Genomic DNA, 21,695 nt, shown 5'->3' with positions numbered 1-21,695 from the left:
AAGGTCCTGATACTCTTACTAGCATTTGCCAGTTAATTCTGTGAGACCCAAATGTGTGCAGGGCCTGGACACTTTATCTCATACTAGGTCTCTTCCTTAACCATCCACTATTCCCCAAATATTTACACAGGTGGACTGCGTAGTTAGACTGATATTTGTGTCAGCCTTGAAAACTCAGGATGACTCTCGAAGCCGACTGCTCATGAAGTATCGTTGCTTGGATCTCCTCTTTTGGAGACTAAGGGAGCTTGACTGTGTGCAAGTTAGCAATAAGGACTGACTACTGGATTAGGTGGACCACGTGAATATCATCTTGTGGTGGCCTTTTGGGATCTTCTGATCTCACTCAGAGTAAAAGCCAAAGTCCTCACTATGACCTAGAAAACGCTTTGTGATCTGTGCCCCCAGGTCTATGACTTCACCTCTAACTAATCCCCCTCACTTGCTTAACCTCCTTCCTCAATGGCCTCTCTGCTAGCTCCTTGAACCACCCCAGGCCCTTTGCACCTGCTATTCCCTCTCCTCAGCATGCTCTGCCCCAGACAATTGCAATGCTAACTTCTTACTTCCTTCAGGTTTCACTCAGAAATGACTTTCTCAGTGGGGTCTCCCATGACCATTTTATTTAAGATTTCAACTACTTTGCCAGTATTTCACTTCTCCTCCCTTGATCTTTTCTTCCAAGCACTCACTGCCCTCTTGCACACTGTATCTTTTACTTATTTATCTTGTTCAGTTTCTGCCTGCCTCACCTGCCTCACCACAGTGTACATTTCACGAGGGCAGGGATTTTGTCTGTTTTGTTGATTGCTGTAGCCCTGGCATCTTGGGCAGTGCCAGCACCTGTTAGCATTAAATACATATTTACTGAATGAATGAGTGGCTTCATGCTTAAAAGCAAGAAGAGAGACCTTCATAGAGAAGTAGGAAAATGAATTGTTGCACAAATAAAGGGCCATGTAATGAGAGAGAGAGAGCAAGAGAAAGAGGTGAGATGCTGATAGATTTTCCAAAAACATTCCAGTTCCTACTTCCCATCTTTCATGAACCAAGATTTTTACTTCCTATCCATGGGCTATCCCTAAAAATTCCATTTTCTTAGGCTACTGTAATAGGGCTTGTCTTTATTGCTACCAAAAATCTCTAAGCAAAAAAAAAAAAAAATAGAGTCAAACTAGAAGATGCTAATTGTTTTCTCAACATCCAGCATGTCTTTGGAGAATGGGGTTCTCATGTAGCAAACAGTTTTGTGGGTTCTCTTCCGTGTTTCCTTTCTTGGATAACTAGGTCACAGACAGCTGGTGTTTCCCATGTGGCAAAGGGAGCATGCAGAGAAATCCCCGCCTCCTCTCTCTTTGCTTTTCAAGCCCTGCTGAATGCCTCCTAATGATTTCATCTGCTCGGAGGTCTGCTGGCTTTTCCACTCTCGTAGAAGCTGGTGGCGCCGGGGGCTGATGCATGCTCTGACTACTGACTTGAAACATGCTTTGATGAATTAGTGCAACTCGGCCAGCCATTTACTTTAAATTTTACCCTTGATTCTTCCTCTAGCAAACAATTAAGGAGCAGCAGTGGCTTCCTGCAGGGGAGACCAATGCCTTCTGTCCTCAGCGGAAACAGCTTGGCATTCTTCCAATTGATGAATGGCATGGACCAGGAGCACTAGTTATCTTCAGCTTCTGAGCATCCGAATAAATAAACATACAAATGCATAACATAAAATAAATTCAAATTACAAATGAGAAAACCAATCTAGGTTACCGGCAAGTCCTATGACTTGATGTGGAGGCCTGGAAGTGCATCCTTGAATCTTGCAATGCAGTGAGCCAAGGAGCAATGAGAGGCCACATGAATAACCGGGCCAGTGACAAGACACATGTCCTCCTCCTTGCTGGGTGAGTAGCCCAGTCCAACCCCAAAAGCTCCTGAGTAAGAGGAAAATGTCTCTTTAACAGTATTAAGGGATAATTTATTATGTGTATCCTTCCAGGGAAGCACAATGTCAGTAAAGGCCCATTGCATTTGCATTATTTCCAGACAACAGCAGCAGCAGAAAGGGACACTGATTTATTTCAGAGCAAGCACAGGTGAATGTAGTGTCTGTTGGGAATGAGCCAGGGAGCACTTAACCCGTTCTGAGTCTTTCTAATGCTTTAGGGGGAACCATAGGTTTTTGGAATAGTTCTATTGGCTTCTTTGGTCAAATTCAGTGTCCCTGAGCCTGTGCTTCTCAATCGCTTGGTAATAAAAGCTCTTACAGGGTGGAGGTCAGCGAAAAAAATATGTTTAAAAACAGAAAATCTGGTTTTATGCCGTGGCCACGTTAATTTCTTTCCGTGTGACCTGGGCAAATAATTTAATCCTTTTACGACTCAGTTATCTCTTTTGAAAAATGAGTGTAATAATGCTCCCTGCAGGATTTTAATGAAAATCAACTAAGCAAATGTATTAATGAGTGACATATAATGAATTGTATAAATGACATTGTTTTGGTGTGACATCAATTTGGGATTCCTGGGACACAAACAGAAGTTTAGGTATTATCTTCAGGTATGGTGTCTTGGCTAGCTTAGCTAGCAGAGAGCTTTTTTCTCAGAGGAATCATTCAGTGGGAGGTAAAACAGTCACTCTTTGAATTCTGGAATTAGAGAGTTATGAAATTCAAAAGGTCATGGTAGAAAGTGTCTTGGAGACATCTCTTCCGAGCTTCTGTTTTGGCAGAGGGAAAAACTGAAGCTTAGGGAAGCAAAGTAAACTGTAAACATCTCGGAGGGTGAGGTCAATCTTAATTATCTTTGGTTGTTGTTTCTTATCAGTATACACCAGAATGCCCCGCATGCAGCGAATGCTCAAAAAGTGTTGGTGGAAGTGACAGAATTCCATCACCATTAAACACAACCAGTGTTGCGGTTGACAATGGTAGGTTGGAGTATTTTCTCTTCTGATCCAGATTAGATCAGAATTTGATACTATTTTAATATTAAGCCTTGAAAAGAATGTGTTTACTGGTCAACTGAGGCATCTTGGAAAGGGACATGACCCCTATAGAGCCAGAAACATCCTGGTAAATCCTCTAGTTTCAACTTCTGACAGAAAGTCCTTGAAGTCTTAAAGAACAATTCCTTTTATTAAACCTTCATACAATTTTAACTTACACAGTAGCACACAATTACAAAATGTTACCCAATACATTACCTTATTTAATTCTCCTAATGATCTGGTGAAGTAGGCATTATTATTTCCATTTCTCAGAGTAAGAAATTGAGGCTCTGAGAGTCTGAGTGATGACCCAAGGATGTATAGGCACCGTCAGGACTGGAACTTGAACCCAGAACTCTTGATTTAAGTGTATTTCATTAACACTACCTTGTAAAGTACCAAGTAGATATCCCTTGCTCCTGTTTCTTCCTTCCTCCTTTTTCTCTCCCCTTCTCTCCCTTGTTCCTCTCTAGGCACTGAAGCAGGTGAAAAATCCGTACAGCAGCTTCTGTCTTTGAAGAGTTTGCAGCCTCTTGAAGAGGGTTTAGAGGTTAAAAAAAGGTAATTCTAAATGCAGAGGATCTTTATTACGCACTAACCCTGATTGAACACAGCCCAAAAGGGTTAACTGACCTGCCTGGGAGATGGGAAAGAGAGATACACCACAGTCCAAGATACAGTTGCTGCTGGAAAAAGAAATCGCTGAAATCCCAAAACACCCCTTTCAAAATATCTAGGCTTTCAAAGCCGTGTCTTTCCTTCTCCCCTCTCTTAGACGTGAGGAATGAGAGATGTGTGTGTGTGACACATCCAACTGGAATCTGCAAATCACTGATCCTTTAAAACCTATTTTTGTAAATACCAATAAAACAAGTCTTGACGCTTGTTCCTGAGTTCAGGGAATTCATTCAACCTGGAGCCCTGGAGGAGGAAAGCTATTCCCTAGGAATTTTTCCCCTTTCAGGTATCTCACCTGAAACTGAAACTTGTCTCTCACTCTTCCATTTTTCTGCCTTTCTTTGATTCAGAGCCTGTAATCCCTTCTGGTTTTCCTCCTTTGTCTGCCTTCACTTTGTCTAAGCAACAGAATAGTTTAGTTTGCCAAGTGAATAATACCACAAAGTGTTGAAGTCTGGAAATAATGCCTCATGGGCACTCCATAACTATTTGTTTAATGATTAAATGAATCGGTGAATAAATGAATGAATAATGGCCAAGTTTAAATACTGGCTCTATCATTTACCAGTTGCCCAGCTTTAAGACAGATATTTAACCTGTTTGTGCCTCAATTTCTTATCCTTCCATATTATGTGTAGGAGATTATAAAAATGTATATACAAGCATAACTTGAGATATTGTGGGTTTGGTTACAGACCACTGCAATAAAGCAAATATTGCCATAAAGCAAGTCACGTGAAGTTTTTGATTTTCCAGTGCATATAAAAGTTATGTTTACACTGCTGTAGTCTACTGTGTGTGAAATAGCATTATGTCTAAAGCATGTACACATCTTATTTTACTTTTTTAATTTTTTTGAGACTGAGTCTCAGTCTGTCACGCAGGCTGGAGTGCAGTGATGCGATCTCGGCTCACTGCAACCTCCACCTTCCAAGTTCAAGTGATTCTCCTGCCTTGGCCTCCCAAGTAGCTGAGATTACAGAGGTGCATGCCACCACACTCAGCTAATTTTTAAAAACTTTTTTTTTTTTTTTTAGTAGAGGCAGGGTTTTACCATGTTGGTCAGGCTGATCTCAAACTCCTGACCTCAAGTGATCCTCCCGTCTCGGCCTCCCAAAGTGCCGGGATTACAGGTGTGAGCCACCATGCCCATTCTTAAATGTACACATCCTAATTAAAAAATATTTTATTGCTAGCTGGGCGTGGTGGCTCATCCCTGTAATCCCAGCATTTTGGAAGACTGAGGCAGGAGGATCACCAGAAGTCAGGAGTTCTAGCCTGGCCAATATGGTGAAACTTTGTCTCTACTAAAAATACAAAAATTAGCCAGGTGTGGTGGTGGGCGCCTGTAGTTCCAGCTACTAGGGAGGCTGAGACAGGAGAATCACTTGAACACAGGAAGCAGAGGTTACAGTGAGCCGAGATCATGCCACTGCATTCCAGCCTGGGCAACAGAGCGAGACTCCATCTCAAAAACAAACAAACAAACAAAAAAACTTTATTGCTAAATAATAAACCTGGGCCTTCAGCAAATCATAATCTGTTTTTGCTGGTGGAGGGTCTTGTCTCAATGTTGATGGCTGCTGACTGATCAGGGTGGTGGTTGCTGAAGGTTAGGTAGCTATGACAATTTCCTAAAATAAGACAAGAATGAAATTTAGTGCATTGATTGACTCTTCTTTTTATGAAAGATTTCTCTGTAGCTTGCAATGCTGTTTAACAGCACTTTACCCATAGTATTATAGATCTTTCATAATTGAAGTCAATCTTCTCAAGCCCTACTGCTGCTTTATCAACTAAGTTGATTGTAGTGAATCTTTTGTTGTCATTTCAACAATGCTCACAGCATCTTCACTGGGAGTGGATCCCATCTCAAGAAACTATTTTTTTGTTTTTTTTTTTTTTTTTTTTTTTGCTCATAAGAAGCAACTTCTCATCCACTGAAGTTTTATCACGAGATTGTAACAATTCTGTCACATCTTCAGGCTCCACTTCTAATTCTGGCTATCTTACTGTTTCTACCACATCCACAGTTCTTGCCTCCACTAAAGCTTTCAAAGTCATCCATGAGGGTTAGAATCCACTTCTTTTAAACTCCTATTAATGCTGATATTTTGACTTCTTCCCATGCATCACAAATAGTCTTAATGACCTCTAAAATGCTGAATTCTTTCCAGAAAGTTTTCAATTTAATTTGCTCAGATTCATCAGAAGACTCACTATCTATGGCAACTGTAGCCTTATAACATGTATTTCTTAAATTATGAGGTTTGAAAGTCAAATTATTTCTCAATCCATGGGCTATGGCAGGAATGCTGTGTTCACAGGCACAAAATAACATTAATCTCCTTGCACATCTTCATCAAAACTCTTGGATAACTAAAAGCATTATCAAGACTCTTGGGTAGCTATATTATTGAAAGGAATCTTTGATTTTCAGCAGCAGGTCTCAAGCACGGGCTTAAAATATTCAGCAAACCATTCTGTAATCAGATGTGCTGTCACCTAGGCTTTGTTGTTCTATTTACAGAACACATACAGAGTAGATTTAGCATGATTCTAAAGGGCCCTAAGAATTTAAGAATAGTAAATGATCTAGAACTAGAAATACCATTTGACCCAGCAATCCCATTACTGGGTATATACCCAAAGGATTATAAATCATGCTGCTATAAAGACACATGCACACGTATGTTTATTGCGGCACTATTCACAATAGCAAAGACTTGGAACCAACCCAAATGTCCATCAATGATAGACTGGATTAAGAAAATATGGCACATATACACCATGGAATACCATGCAGCCATAAAAAATGATGAGTTCATTTCCTTTGTAGGGACATGGATGAAGCTGGAAATCATCATTCTCAGCAAACTATTGCAAGGCCAAAAAAACCAAACACCACATGTTCTCACTCATAGGTGGGAATCGAACAATGAGAACACATGGACACAGGAAGGGGAACATCACACACTGGGGCCTGTTGTGGGGTGGGGAGGGGGGAGGGATAGCATTAGGAGATATACCTAATGTTAAATGATGAGTTAATGGGTGCAGCACACTAACATGGCACATGGATACATATGTAACTAACCTGCACGTTGTGCACTTGTACCCTAAAACTTAAAGTATAATAATAAAAAGAAAAAAAAAAGAATGGTAAATGAGCATTGACTTTAACCTAAAGTCTCCATCTGCATTGGCCCCTAACAAGAGAGTTACCCTGCCTGGTGAAGCTTTAAAGCCAGGCATTGACTTCTCCTCTGTAGCTACGAAAGTCCTAGATGGCATCTTCTTGCAGTATAAGGCTGCTTGATCTAAAATGAAATTCTGTTGCTTAGTGTAGCTACTTTTATCAATTATCTTAACTAGATTTTCTGGATAACTTATCTTAACTAGATCTTCTGGTTAACTTACTGCAGCCTCTCCATCAGCACTTGCTACTTCACCTTTCACTTTTATGTTATGGTGATGGCTTCTTTCCTTAAACTTCATGAACCAGCCTCTGCTAGCTTCAAACTCATTTTCTGCAGCTTCCTCATCTTTCTCAAACTTCACAGAATTGAAGAGAGTTAGGGGCTTGCTCTGAATTAGCCTTTGACTTAAGGGAATGTTGTGGCTAGTTTGATCTATCCAGACTACTAAAACTTTATCCATATCACAAAAAGATTGTTTTGCTTCTTATCATTAATACGTTCACGGGAATAGCACTTTTAGTTTCCTTTAAGAACTTTGCCTTTGCATTCACAACTTGGCTGTTTGGCACAAGAGGCTGAGCTTTTGACATGCCATACTTACTAAGCTTAATCATTTCTAGTTTTTTTTTTTTTTTTTTTTTTTTTTTTTAGACAGAGTCTTACTCTGTCATCCAGGCTGGAGTGCAGTGGTGCGATCTCGGCTCACTGAATCATTTCTAGTATTTTATTTACAATGAAAGACTTGTGACCCTTCCTTTCATGTGAATACTTAAGAGTTCATTGTAAGATTATTAATTCACGTAATTTCAATATTTTTTTCTGACTCAAGGAATAGAAAGGCCAGAGGAGATGGGGAGAGATGGGGGACATGGCTGGTTGGAGTGGAGCAGTCAGAACACACACATTTACCAGTTTACTCTCTGATATGGGTGCAGTGTGTGGCACCCCAAAACAATTACAATAGTAATATCAAAGATCACTGATCACAGATCACCATAACAGATAGAATAATAACAATAAACTTGAACTTATGAAAGAATTAACAAAATGGGACACAGTGAAATGAAATAAGCCTACACTGTTGGAAAATTGGCACTGATAGATTTCCTAGATGCAGGGTTGCCACAAATCTTCAGTTTGTAAAAAAAAAATGCAATATCTCTGCAAAGCACAGTAAAGAGAAGTACAATAAAAAGAGATATATCTGAATTTATGTAATACATAAAGCACTTGAGATTCATTCTGGTACTGAAAAATGATTGTTTATATTATTATTGTCAAAGAGACATGTGTGTGACTTGGGAGCCACAGGAGGAATGTTCTTGAAAGCCTGGGAGGCTTGGGAGGATGGTCTTTTGTTAGCTGTGAGGAGTTTAGGTTTTAAATACACACAGGAAAGGATGCAGGAGAGGGCATTTCAGGCAGTAATACTAGGGTAAAGGAGCAAGGTCTGGAATTTTCTGAAGGTAAGAGAGATAGAATGAAAAGTGAGGAGTCAGAAAATGCTGTAGAAAGAGGTGAGGAGATGTGGGGAATGTGGATGGTCAAATGGATTCGTAAAACTAAATTGTTGATTATATATTGCATGGCTATTATGTGCTGCTGATACAAAATGTGATACAGACTATGTGCCCAAGAAGGGAGCCTGAGATTCCACATCGTAAAAGTGATAAGGGTTACAGCAGAGGGATATTTCACATGCTGTTAGCCCAGAGGAAGGAGTATGTCATTCACTTAGGGTTCTAGAGGCCTCACAGTGAAGGCCTGCGCTCTCCAAGGATTCATTCATTCTCTTTCACTCTCTTGCTAACTAGCTTATTCACTCATTTAACATACATTCTTGAGCACTTGTTTATTTGCTAGGTGTTGATCTGGATGCTAGGGACAAGGCAGACACAATCATTGAGCACAGGGTCAGCAGGAGATCTCTCAGTGTTGATAGGGAGAAATCCTGTCCCAGGCAGACAGAATGACATGACAGAAAACCAAACCAAACCAAACCATGGAGCACTTAGAAGCAAGCATGGGCTTTCCACAGTAGCTCAATGGGAAAGGCATGGATGGTACGTGGTCCAAGAGTCACCTGGGGGTTGAGGCCATCATCATCTACCAGACATGGGAAGGGGATGGAAGATACCAAACAGGAGAGGAGGATGGCCAGATTTATAGTTCAGTATGAGACCACTGGTGGCAGGTGGAGTGGAGTGGTCTGAGTGAGCCCTCAGAGAAATACCGAAGGAGAGAGCAAGGAGCTCCCCATGGAGGCAAAGGGACAGTTGGAGCTAGAGAGGGAGATGAAAAGATGTTTCTTGAGGCAGAGTTCTCCCCACAGTGAGTCAGAGGTCAAGGAGAAAGCACCAGCTACTTGTCGGAGGGTGGGGAGGGGCAATGAGACCCTAAGTGCAGGAAAAGGGGGCCTGAGGGTGAGGAGGAGGTAAATGTTTCCTTCACAATGGCAGGGACCATAATTGTGGAGGAAAGACAGATGGTCTATTTCTGCCAGGTGCCATCCCTAGCAATTCCCCTCTGCAAGGACTCACCCTAGCCCTCTGGGAATAAGGAGTGGGTTTATTGGCATCAGTTCCATGCTTTTGTAGTGGGAAAACTATGATATCTGAGGATGAGTCAATCGGTCCAATCAGGACTGGTTGAAAACAACTTTGATGGAGAAGACTGGGAAAAAAAACATCAAATCCCTAAGAATTCCATGTGTCAAAACAAAACCAGCACATCTTGATTCATTGCAGTTCTTGTGAAGTCTCTCTTATCCAGCTAATGACTTCCCATGCCAGGGGAAGCAGCATGAGGAAAAGTCAACACAACAAATTTTGCAAAGTCTCTGCTCTTACTTAAATTTCTTTTCCTCCCAGATTTTCCCATACCCCATTCTGAAGAACACAGGCAGAAATCCCTACCCCCACCAGCATTTTTTTTTCTATCAAGGGGTTCCTGTTGCTTTTTTTCCATAGCACTTTTTACATACCTCCCCAATGGCACTTCCTCAATTGAAGTCCCATCTCATCATCATCATCATTATTATTTTTACATAGAGACAGAACTGTTCATTACCCTTTAGTTGTCCCATCATCTAGTATAGTGTCTGGCGTGCAACTCAACAAATGAATGTTTGCTGAACAACTAAATTATCAGTGGCAGGCAATATGTGTTCTAGAATCTTGTAATACTTGACTTTGCAAAGGAGACTCATGGAGACCAGGAGTAGGCGTAGGCACTCCTGTGCACTCCTCATATCACTGCTCAGTCTGCGTGCTTAAAAATAATTTGTTTTACATGAAGCTGCATGTGGTCTCTTGCGGTGGCTCATAAATTCCAGTTGGCAAAAACAGCTGGGCTAGTTGCCTGAGAACCTCTAGAGACTGTGATTCAGTAGTTTCAGGGTGGGCCCCCAGAATGAAGAAAAAAATATATATATGCCTTTCTCTTTTCTCTTTCCTGCTTTGTCTCTTTCTCTATCCATCCATCCATCTATCCATCCAAAGGTTTAGGCAACACTGTTGAGAGGGAAAAGTAGTAGAACTGGAATTTGGAGACTTGGCTTAGTAACTTATTTTTTTAAGCTTCAGAGAACCCATCTTGAAAATGGTAACACTCATTTAATTCCCAGGGCTAATCAGGACATATGATTAAATAATATTTATAAACATGAGAGACACACAATGGGTTCTCAGTAAATGTTAGTTTAATCTGAATATACTGACAATAGAAAGTGCAGTAAGTCTGAGGCTTCTGGGCTAGTTCATAACAAGGAGGGAAAAATAAAGGATTTTGATGTAGATAGAATGTAATGATGCATTTTTTTTTTAGGAGACGGAGTCTTGCTCTGTTGCCCAGGCTGCAGTGCAGTGGCATGATCTTGGCTCACTGCAAGCCCCACCTCCCGGGTTCACGCCATTCTCCTGCCTCAGCTTCCCTAGTAGCTGGGACTACAGGTGCCTGCCACCACACCCGGCTAATTTTTTATATTTTTAGTAGAGATGGGGTTTCACCATGTTAGCCAGGATTATCTTGATCTCTTGACCTCGTGATTTGCCCACCTCGGCCTCCCAAAGTGCTGGGATTACAGGCATGAGCCACTACGTCTGGCCAATGATTCATTTTTAAATTTGTCAGGTTGCAGCAGTGTAGAAAGAGTCACTGCCAGGAGGTCCATGTCCCAGAGGCGTGAGGAAATCCTTTGGCAGTTGTCAATCCAACCCACAAGGTAATAGAATTAACTTCCAGAGAAGTCATGAGCAGACACATTCATAGATCACCATGTGAGAAACTTTCTTTGCTTGGGGAATGAGAGGGAGACCACTCCTGTAAATGCTGCCAAAGGGCACATCCAAGGTGGGGGTGGGGTAGGAGGCTGGAGGCCCAACTGGACTGGCTTGATGAGAGAGTTAATTAGACTCCTGGGTCCAGAAAGCAGCCCTACCCTCTTTGTGCCCCCCACGTGGAGCTGCAAGGCTGGGTGTGATTATGTGCTTTATAAGGAACACATATTTTGTAAGATTAAGACAAAACTGATGTGACTCTATCAGCCAAAAACATTTATTGTGTGCTTTTAATGTGCAAATATGAGAGGAACCTGGAACTTATTAATCTGGTTTGGGTGGCCCCTCTTGGCCCCTCTAGCTATTTTGGCCATAGCTCCAACTTCATTGAATAGAAATAATTTGAAGTTTTCTTCTCCATTATCCCAGTTTTTGGTTTTGGTTGTTTTTGTTTTGTTTTGTTTTGTTTTGTTTCCCCCAGCACTGAACACTGCATAATAGCACATAGTAGACACTAACGATATTGAATCAAAGTGGTGTCGACAGAATAGGACTGTGCCTATTTGCCAGCACTTTTAAATCAGGCTTGTGCATCCTGATGGTATAGCTCTAGTTTGTTAGGAGTTCATTTATGCTCCAGAGTCAATGTGAATGGTACCCTGAAGTCTCAACTGTTTTGGAAAGGTTGATAAAGAAAAAAAAGGCAAATAATTTAACTTGATTATTAGGAAATATATAGTAATGTTAAAATGAACCTCCATATTTTATAGAGTAGGATGTTAAATTTGCATGAGTTTTAAGATAAAGCACACAAAGTCAAAGTCCTCCCTTTTCTCCTGTGCCTGCCCCGAATCTTTGGGTATGCAGCATCCCTTGGAATACATTGACAATCAAGCATAGTGAGCTACACGAAGGCAAGAACTGTGTTTTTGTTCCCTGTTGAATCTCTACCATGAAGAGCACAGTGCCTGGCACGTAGAAAGTACTCAACAAGAGAGTGGGTTCTGGATTATTCTCTGTATGCTCCACATGCTCCTCTTCTCTGTTCAAATAGAGTGTTGACTCCTGGAGGGCATGTCTTAGTTATCTTCCGATCTCTGATGCCTGGTGCATAATAAGTTCTTGCTACATCTTCATCTTGTGCTTCACTGTACGCTCATTGGGCCTAGCATAGTCTTCTGCAAATACCAGGCACTTTCTGCAGTTTTATCAATGATGCTGGCTTTGATGTTATGAATATCTGTGGTCAAATCTTTTCTCTGTCTATAAAGTGAGGATAACAATTTCTACTTCACAGGATGGATACCAAGGACCTGTGATATCTTTAATATGAGACATTTGACACAACACATCTTCAACAAATGCCAGTCCTCTTTTCCCCCTTGTTTCAGTCTCATTTCTAGACAATTCCTTCTATGGCTTAGGATAAGATTTGAAAGGGCTAAGTTTTGATTCTAGTTCTCAGCTTTAACCCTGGTTCTGCAGAATAAGGTTGTTGATTTTTCTGATTCTGATCAAATCTCTTACTGCGTTTGAGGCTTAATGTTTCTATCAGCAAAATGGGTACAATACTTGCAACTACTCTCTACTAGTGATCTGGGAAGAAGAATGAGATAACATCCGGAAGGAGCCTTGAGCTTCAGAGGTGAAAAGTGCTGTATGAATTCAAAGACCAGAAGGTCTCTGCTATTATTCTTCAATGGTTTGTTGGCTTCTTTTAGAACAGGAGGCTGTTTGACTGACAAAGTCATCAGCTGTCTCCTTCCTAAAAACCCTTTGAAATCATTTGTAAATACCTCTGAGTGGTAATGATTTGCTTTTGCCACTCCCGCCCCTCCTCTGCCCATTTGTTTGCTCTAAGGTTAAAGGTAATTGCTTTTGGGGTGGGAGGAAAAGTGAAACAATCCCAGGGATAATTGCCCCAAGGTCAGCAAATCTGTGTTCAAGTCCTTACTCAGACTCTCACTAACATTGGGAAAATCACTGACCCTCTCTGGGTCTGAGCTGGAAGCATCAAGATTGGACCAAATAATCTCCAGGCTTCTCCAACCAGCCTTGAGAATGTGGACCAGATGCGTGACAGAAGAGCATATTCCGTGTCAAAGTAGAACTAAAAATGGAGGCTGAGCACAATGGGAGGAAAGAATCTCTTCACTGAAGAGGAGGGTGTTGGTGAGCATGGATTGAATGGAGATGGAAAATACCATGAGCAATCAGATTAAGCAGGGCCCTGAAATCCAGGCAGATAAGTTGAGTCTTGGTGCCACATGTCAACTTTCCTTCTACTGGGAGACAATATGGGGCAGAGAAAAGAGCCATACTGTGATTTTGGAGCCATGCAAACCTAGAAGACTTTAAAAACCTTTAAATTCTTGCTTTATCACGAATTAGTTATACCTTTGGACACATTATTTCACTGTCAGAATCTTACTTTTCTCTACAATGGTGATAAAAATACTCACCTTTTGGGATTGTTATGAGGGTTAAATGATGTGGCACATGTAAATAGAGTAGATCTTTATTATTCATGGATTCTATATTTGTGAACTCACCTACTTGCTAAAACATACTTAAATCCCCAAATCAATACTCATGGTGCTTTTACAGTGATTCTTGGACATGCTTAGAGTGGGTGGCAAAACATCTAAGTCAGTTGACACACATGATCCTAGCTGAGGGTAAACAAGGTGAGCCTCTGCTATCTCATTTCAGCTCTCACATTGTAATAAGTGTCCCTTTCAATCTACTTAGCTCCACATTTTCCCCATTTTTATGCTTTTTGATGAAGTGTTTTTTTGTTTGTTTCTTTTGTTTTGTTTTTGTTTTGTTTTCTTTCTTGAGATGGAGACTCACTCTGTTGCCCAGGCTGAAGTACAGTGGTGCAATCTTGTCTCACTGCGACCTCTGCCTCCTAGGTTCAAACGATTCTTCTGCCTCAGTCTCCCAAGTAGCTTGAACTACAGGTGTGCACCACCACTCCCAGCTAATTTTTGTTGGTGGTGATTTTTCTGTTTAAAATGGCCCCATTTCAGCATAGTGCTGAAGTGCTGTGTAGTGTTCTTGAGTCAAGAAGACTGTGAAATGTCTTATAGAAAATATATACATGTTAGATAAGCCTCATTTAGGCATGAGCTATAATGCTGCTGGCCATGAGTTTAATTTTAATGAATCAACAAAATATATTGAATAAGGTGTCTTTACATAGAAACACACATAAAGCAAGATTATGTATTGCTTGGATGATGAAAATGTTTTGCCCAGAGCTCACGGGAACCTAATCTTCTATTTTACCTAGGAACATTAGTTCACTGTTCGCTCATTCAGTATCCATGGAAACTTCATAAAACATAACTACTGTGAACAGTGAGAACTAACGGTATCTGAAATATTTTTTATAAGTCAGCCTTTGATAGGTTATGCTGCAGTAACAAACATCTTCCAAATTACAGTGGCTTACAATCTAAAAGTTTTATCTTTTATTCATTTTATATGTCCACTGTGTATGTCAACTCTAGATCAGCTCTGGTTTTGCCTCAGGTGCCTTCTCAATACCAGGTCAAAGTTGAAAGATCAACCTCTATCTCGCACATACCAATTTAACGCCAAAGAAAAAAAAAGCAGGAGATAAATCAGAACCAGGCAATTGTTTCATGACTTCTGTTCAGACATGCACACATCGTATGCCCACTCACATTCTATTGGCCAAAGCAAGGAATGTGATAAATTCATTGTGAAGAAAAACAGATAAACGCCCCTCATGGAGGCACTGTACGCACATGCCAGTGGGTGGGGATGGATAATCCTCTTATAGATATGAAAGAATGGGAGAGTAAATACTTGGAAAAATACAAATGCAACTTAACACAGTTACCTTTTCTTGGCACTCTTAACTTCTTACTGTTGGCTTATGATTAGTCAAAGGACATGATGAGCAGTTGTCTAAAGAAAGAACATGTGACCAATTTCTCTGAGAGAAGATGTCTTTATATACTAAGTGACAGTTAACACCATTAGATAGAGCTTGTCTGTATTTACCTGTATATGTTTCTTTGAGTGTGTATTTAAGGAATATATAAAGTTTAGTAAAAAATAAAGTATCAGACAAACTTTCAATAAATGACTTGAAAGGAACCTTTAAGACTAGACTTTTGGCCCAATACCCTTGTCTTATAGATAAGGAAATTAGTGACTAGGAAAGTGAAGTGACTATATATAAAATATACGTTTACTTGATTACCTGTTTCATGTCAGGGCCAGAACAACAAACTGTGTCTCATTTGACAAGCTCTTACTAATCCTCGACTATTTTCCAAGCATTGCAGTTGCTGCTAGGATGGTAGAGAGATGGTGAATGTCTAGATCCTTTTACTGAAAGGGTGGTGCTATCATTCATTTATATAGTGGATGGGGAAGGTGGTTTTTAGGATGGAGTTAGAGTGAAGTAGAGATGAACCATGATAGGGCAAAAAGACAAATTGGCTTTGATTCTAGACAGACTCTACTAAGATATTGCTGTGAGACCTTGGACAAATCTTGCATACTCCTAGAGCCCCAGTTTCCTCATCTCTAGATATTATCTACCTTAGATAATTGCTATGGAGATTAAAAATAATGTAAGAAAAGTATCTGGCACATATGAGGCATGAGGTAAGTGGTCGCTGTTACTTTGAATAAGATCGTGATTTTAGACCCTATTGCTTGGGCAATGAGATTCTTACTGTGACACTAACTCTGTACAGACCCATAACTTTTGGCAATTTTCCTAGTTCTGCATGGATAATGTGAAGAATTCTGCACTCAGAATTCTCTCTCCCAGCAAAAGATGAACTGGTGAGCAGAAAAGGCTAACAGGTCAGTCTTCTCCCACAGTGGCAAATACAAGATGAAGGTGGTGCATCTTCCATGCACCGTCTCTCCATTCCCATGGTAGAGCATGTCCTCGAAAGCTGGCATCATAATCCACTTAAACCAACGTTCAAGCTGGCTCAAGGGCAGTCTGACTTTAAAATTTTTATGGAGGTTTTGTTTTCCCACGCTTCCTTTCAATCTTTTTATCTCCCTTTTAATTTGATGTGAAAGGAGCACAGGTGGCTTATGATTCCTATTTCCTGTGCTTGCAAAATAGAGACAAACTCACATAGGTTGTATTTACAGCTGGGGAAAAACTGGCTGGATGAAGGCATTGGCTATTTGATAAGACAGAGGACAAGGTTTCTTCTTTTGCTGTTGATGAAGACATTATCTTTGAAATACCTTTTTCATGCAGCGCACACTAGGGTGTTTTACTGTGTTAGTAGCCAAGGTGGTTTTTACCCCAAAATAAGATGATTAGTGTAAGCCAGTGAGTGAGTTCTAGGTGAATTGTGAGTCCATCCTTCTTAGATTTCCTATCGACTGTGAACAGTTTTTTTGCTTGTTCTTATGAAAAAATGCAAACAGAACCCATTAAGTGGGTTTAGGGGAAAAAAGAATTTTTTGAAGAATATTAGTGCTTCACGTCTCCAAGATGGCTGGAGAGTCACACTGGGAGGCTCTATGGAGAAGGATTACATCCATACCATACAATGGGAATGAACCAGTACAGACTCCATCGATGCTATGAGGACAGAGACCCCAGCTCACATTCTGGGCTCAGGATGTCAGAAATTCCACTTCCAGCCATCACTGCCATCTCTAGCCAAAAAATAGTTTCTACCCAGCATCGGCTCTCTCATCTTGCTCACTTTTCAGTGATACTCTCACTCATTGTGGTTGGTATGGCTGAGGTGGAGCATTACAAAGGAGAATGGGAAAGTGAGTTTCTTGTTTCCACCTTGGGGATGTGAAAGGTTTCTTAGATGAGGGAAGGGTGTTTAAAAACTTCTGAGCAGTGGGAAAACTCCCAATGTCTACAATGGCTCTTTAATGCTGGATATTATTATATTAAAGGAAATCAGGGAAAGTATAACTGCTGCTTGGATCTGGCTATTAGATGTCGACTGTAGACCAGGGCATCTCAACCTCAGCACTTAGGTAATCTGGGACCAGATAATTCTTTGTTGTGAGGAGCTGTCCTGTGCATTGTAGAATGGTTGGCAGCATTCCCCACTGGTGCCATTAGCACATCCCCCTTCTTGTGATACTAAAAATGTCTCCAGACATTGAGAAATGTCTTCTAGAGAGAAGGCAACATGGCCCTTGGTTGAGAACAACTACTGTCAACCATAACACATTTGATGCACTGTCTATATACGAGGGGCATGTGGGTGTGCTGCCTTGTGCAAAAAGTATTTTTGGTAAGTTTGATCAAATCAGATATTGAAGGGCTCTAGAGAATAGGACTGGGGGAGGAGAAGGATTTCTCATTAGTCCTCCACTTGGATATAAATATCCCAAGTATAAGGATTTATCTGTTTTGTTCACAGCTCAGTTCCCAGTGCCTAGTGCATAACAAGGCTCCATGAATATTTGTTGAATGTATGAATAAATAAAAGAAACCCAAGATTATTTTTATGACTGTCTTAATTCAGATATTTTGTCTTATTATTATACTAGAATTTCAGGTCTATAAGCGTAGCTACCCTACCCCTAAGTTATGTACTGGCCCGAGGTGGCAGCAGTCAGATGTAAGAAGCCCAAATGTCAAAACATCCTGGATGTTATACACTCGTTACTCACAAGTTGCTTAATGATAGGCAAACCCTCACTCTGTTTCCACACAAAACACTCATGGTGTCCATCCTGATGCATCCCTTAGCTGAATTTGGACAACCTTGGTTAAGCAGGCTATTTGGCATTCACAGTAGAGTCAAGATTCTCAAGCTGCCTTTCATTGTTCATGTGCAAGCTGAACTGAAATTTTCTGGGGATTTTTGGGGTCTCTTTTACTTGTTGATCAAATGTCTATTGAGCCAAATACGGAGAATTCAGTCATGAGCAAGACGGACCAAGTTCCTATCTTCATGGAGCCTATATTCAAATAGTAGATGGCAATGATACTCAAGTAACTGCATAAATAGCATCAATTTCTGAAAGCTATAAAAAAGAACACTAGGATCAGTTGACAGAGAATGGGAATGATGATGAGGGGGCACTGAGGGAGGAAGACTGGCTACAGAAGTCCCAAGAGCAGTTGACTGCAAGGATGCAGCTCACAACATTTGCCTCTGTTTTCTTCCCTGAATGCTGGAGAGTAGGATGAAGTGTGTGTGTGTGTGTGTGTGTGTGTGTGTGTGTGTGTGTGTGTGTAGGAGAAGGAGGAGGAGGAGGGTAGATCAGTACCAACTGACAGGTTTCTGTGGTGCATCAGAGGGGACATGTCTGGGGATGCGCACATCTTTCTCCCAAAAGCCTTCATGTATCTCCCCTAGTTCATATCATTTTGAGTTGTGGCACTTAATATTTCTGAGTTCCAGATTTCTCAGAGAATCTGAAGTACGTTACAGAAACTCTCCCCAGAAAAATGCATCTTAAATATAAAATTTTAGTGCAATTTCAGGGTGACTATAACCCTGCTGAAGCCTTTCTACAGAGGGCTTTCTTTGTTCTACCACTAAGAAATTCTGGGGCAATACCGGTAATACTAGACATTTATTGAGAGTTTATGTCTCAACTACTTAAAGTGCTAACTACTTGACATCTATTGTCCCAGTCAAATCCTACAATGACTCCATGAGGTAGATGTCATCACCAACCCCATTGTGTGGAAGAGGAAATTGGGCACAGAGTGAGTGACAAATTTCCCCCCAAACACAGAAATTTATGTTTGTCTGATTTCTCTCTCTCACTAGGTGGCTTGATAATCTACTAGAGAATATTTTGGCTGAAGGTTTAGTTCACCTAAAGACTTGGATAGCTCTTAATGCACTATTTTGGGATATTTTGATGGTAAATCTTCAGGATGAAGGTAGTGTCATCTACCACTGTATTTGCCTCAGCACCTATCCTAGTTACTGATAGCCCCTGAGAGCCCAGAGCATTTGTGTCACTGATTGGCAGGCCATGCCTGCATACAATGCTGCTTGTGTTACCCTAAACCGACTGTACAGTGGAAGGGATGATGATGATGATGCCTTCCTGCTTGATAACTGATAATTTTATTGCTGTGGGTTGCAGATTGTGCTTGAAACTGCATGTAATGAGAGGGAATATTTATAGTGATTAAGATACACTAGATAAGGGAGCAGCAAACTTCTTTTGTAAAGAAATGGGTTGTACATATTTTAGGTTTGGACGGCCAAAAGGAAACATTGAGAATTTTATTGTATAACTATAGACATTCTTTAACTTATGATGGGGCTATGTCTTGATAAATTAATTTGAAGTTCAAAATATCATTTTAAGTCACAAATACACTGAATACACCTAACCTATTGAACATCACAGCTTAGCCTAGCCTACCTTAAGAGTATTCAGAATACTTCTATTAGCTTATAGCTAGGGAAAATCATTTAACATAAAGCCTATTTTATAATAAACTTTGAATATCTCAATTTTTTCAAGGCTGTATTGAAAGTGAAAAACAGAATAGCTGTATGAGTACTTGAAGTACTGTTTCTTCCAAATACATCTCACTTTTGTACCATTGTAAAGTCAAAGAATTGTAAGTCAAACCATTGTGAGTCAGGGACTGTATTTAATATATATTTATTTAAAAAAGTAAAAACTTACATCAGTGTAGTGTGGGAAAAGAGAAAAAAAGGTAGAAATTATTTTTAACTTGAGTCATACAATATACAATGTATGTATGTATACACGATGATACACAAGTCAGTGCATAAATAGGATCGGGTTCTGAGAGCTATAAAAACAGAACACTAGGATTAGTAACAGAGAAAGGGAGTGATGATGAGGTGGCCTTGAGGAGGAGAAGGCTGGCTACAGAAGTCTTCTCTATACAATATCTGATGAGCTGTATTTGGCCCACCAGCTGCACTTTCTTGACTTCTGCTCTGAGCTTAAATCCAGACTTGACATTGGCCTGAAGAATAATCTTGGTCAGGTTATTCAGCCTCTCTGTGCCTCAATTTCCTCATGCATAAAATGAAGATTGTCATGGCGCCTACTTTGTATGGTAAAAAATTTAGACAAGTTCCTGGCACTTCATAAAGATTATATCAGAGTTGCTTATTATAATTTCTTGATTGTTTGATAAAAGGTACATCCCAAGACATATGAGTACTCTGGAATGCTTCCTTGTATGTGGAGTTTAAGAACTAATGTAATATGATGCTGGATGACTTTTTAAGAAATGCCTCTAAATTCAGACAGGAATACGCTAACACATACCCTTATCTATGCACAAAAGGAAAAATAAATCCAGGAGTAAGTGGGGAACTTGGCAGGAAAATTATTTTATGATAAAATAATCTTTCCAGTCAGTTTCCCTCCCTGACTCCTTCCCTGCCTCCAACCCCTCCTATCCCCACCCAGCCCCCCTTGCTTTGAGAACTTTGGGGCAGGGCAGAAGAGATGTGGTGGGGGGTGGGAGCTATAAGTGGGAATGGCAGTAAGGATAAAGCTAATTGGGCACCTCTTACTTCTCAGAGTTCCACTAGGTGCTTAAATGTATATTATATAATCCCATTTCTCAATATTATTGTTCATAGCACCCAGGTGATATGGACTTAATTAAATCCATGTTACAGATGGAGAAGCGGAGGCACAAAAACAATTAATAACTTGACTGAAGTCACACAGCCAGTAAGTGGCAAAACTGATATTCCAATCTAGGCTTGTCTAACTTCAGAGAACCCAAGTCCATGCTTTTTCCAGACCACACTGCTCCTCCCCTGGCAGCATCTGCAGGAGTATAATCAGGGCAGGCAGTCATCTCTGGGTGCACTTAAATTACTGGCTCTCTGTGGATACATCATTCACATCAAATTCTGTGTACAGATCTTTTGATTATATATAAAACAGACTGTCATAACTATTTCTATGGCAAGTTGCTGTTTTATTGATGCAATTATTATTATTATAATAATTATTATTATTTTGAGACTGAGTCTTGCTCTGTTGCCCAAGCTAGAGTGCAGTGGCATGATCTCAGCTCACTGCAACCTCTGCCTCTCAGATTCAAGCGATTCTCCCACCTCAGCCTCCTAAGTAGCTGGGATTACAGGCGCCCACCACCGTGCCTGGCTAACTTTTGTATTTTTAGTAGAGACAAGGTTTCACCATCTTGGCCAGGCTGGTCTCAAACTCCTCACTTCGTGATCCACCTGCCTCGGCCTCCCAAAGTGCTAGGATTACAGGCGTGAGCCACTGTGCCCAGCCTGATGCAATTTTTTTAATGCCTTCTACAAAACTACTTAGGGCAAACTGCTCTCCTGTGAACAAGGCCAAGGCCATGGTGGGAGGGGTTCCACGGCTGTTCCTCTCCCATCCCCACCCCATATACTGAGAGAGCCCTTTCTCCATGCTTTCTTTTTCTGCTTCGCTATCAAACATTCTTCCAGCAGCAATTGAAGGGACAGACAATAGTAAGTTTTTTGGAACTTTTTTCTGAATAATATATATTATATATGCATTTTTCTGGCTATATAAGTCATGCACTTTCTTATATAAGAAAGCTTGGAAA

The 21,695-nt window shown here is 40.6% G+C and overlaps 1 long non-coding RNA gene across 2 annotated transcripts in view; it reads left to right on the top strand.

Annotated features, from left to right (window-relative positions):
* Positions 1-483: 483 nt before the first annotated feature.
* CASC8 (cancer susceptibility 8) overlaps positions 484-21,695 on the top strand; it is a 192,464-nt gene continuing 171,252 nt past the window's right edge. For both annotated transcript variants that reach the window (NR_117100.1, NR_024393.1), the window contains exons 1-4: positions 484-989; positions 1,552-1,895; positions 2,817-2,919; positions 3,453-3,540. This is a non-coding gene — a long non-coding RNA (cancer susceptibility 8). The remainder of the gene's footprint in view (positions 990-1,551; positions 1,896-2,816; positions 2,920-3,452; positions 3,541-21,695) is intronic.

Source organism: Homo sapiens, chromosome 8, assembly GCF_000001405.40.
Source record: "Homo sapiens chromosome 8, GRCh38.p14 Primary Assembly".
Taxonomy (NCBI): domain Eukaryota; kingdom Metazoa; phylum Chordata; class Mammalia; order Primates; family Hominidae; genus Homo; species Homo sapiens.
This window is presented reverse-complemented; position numbering and strand designations above follow the sequence as displayed.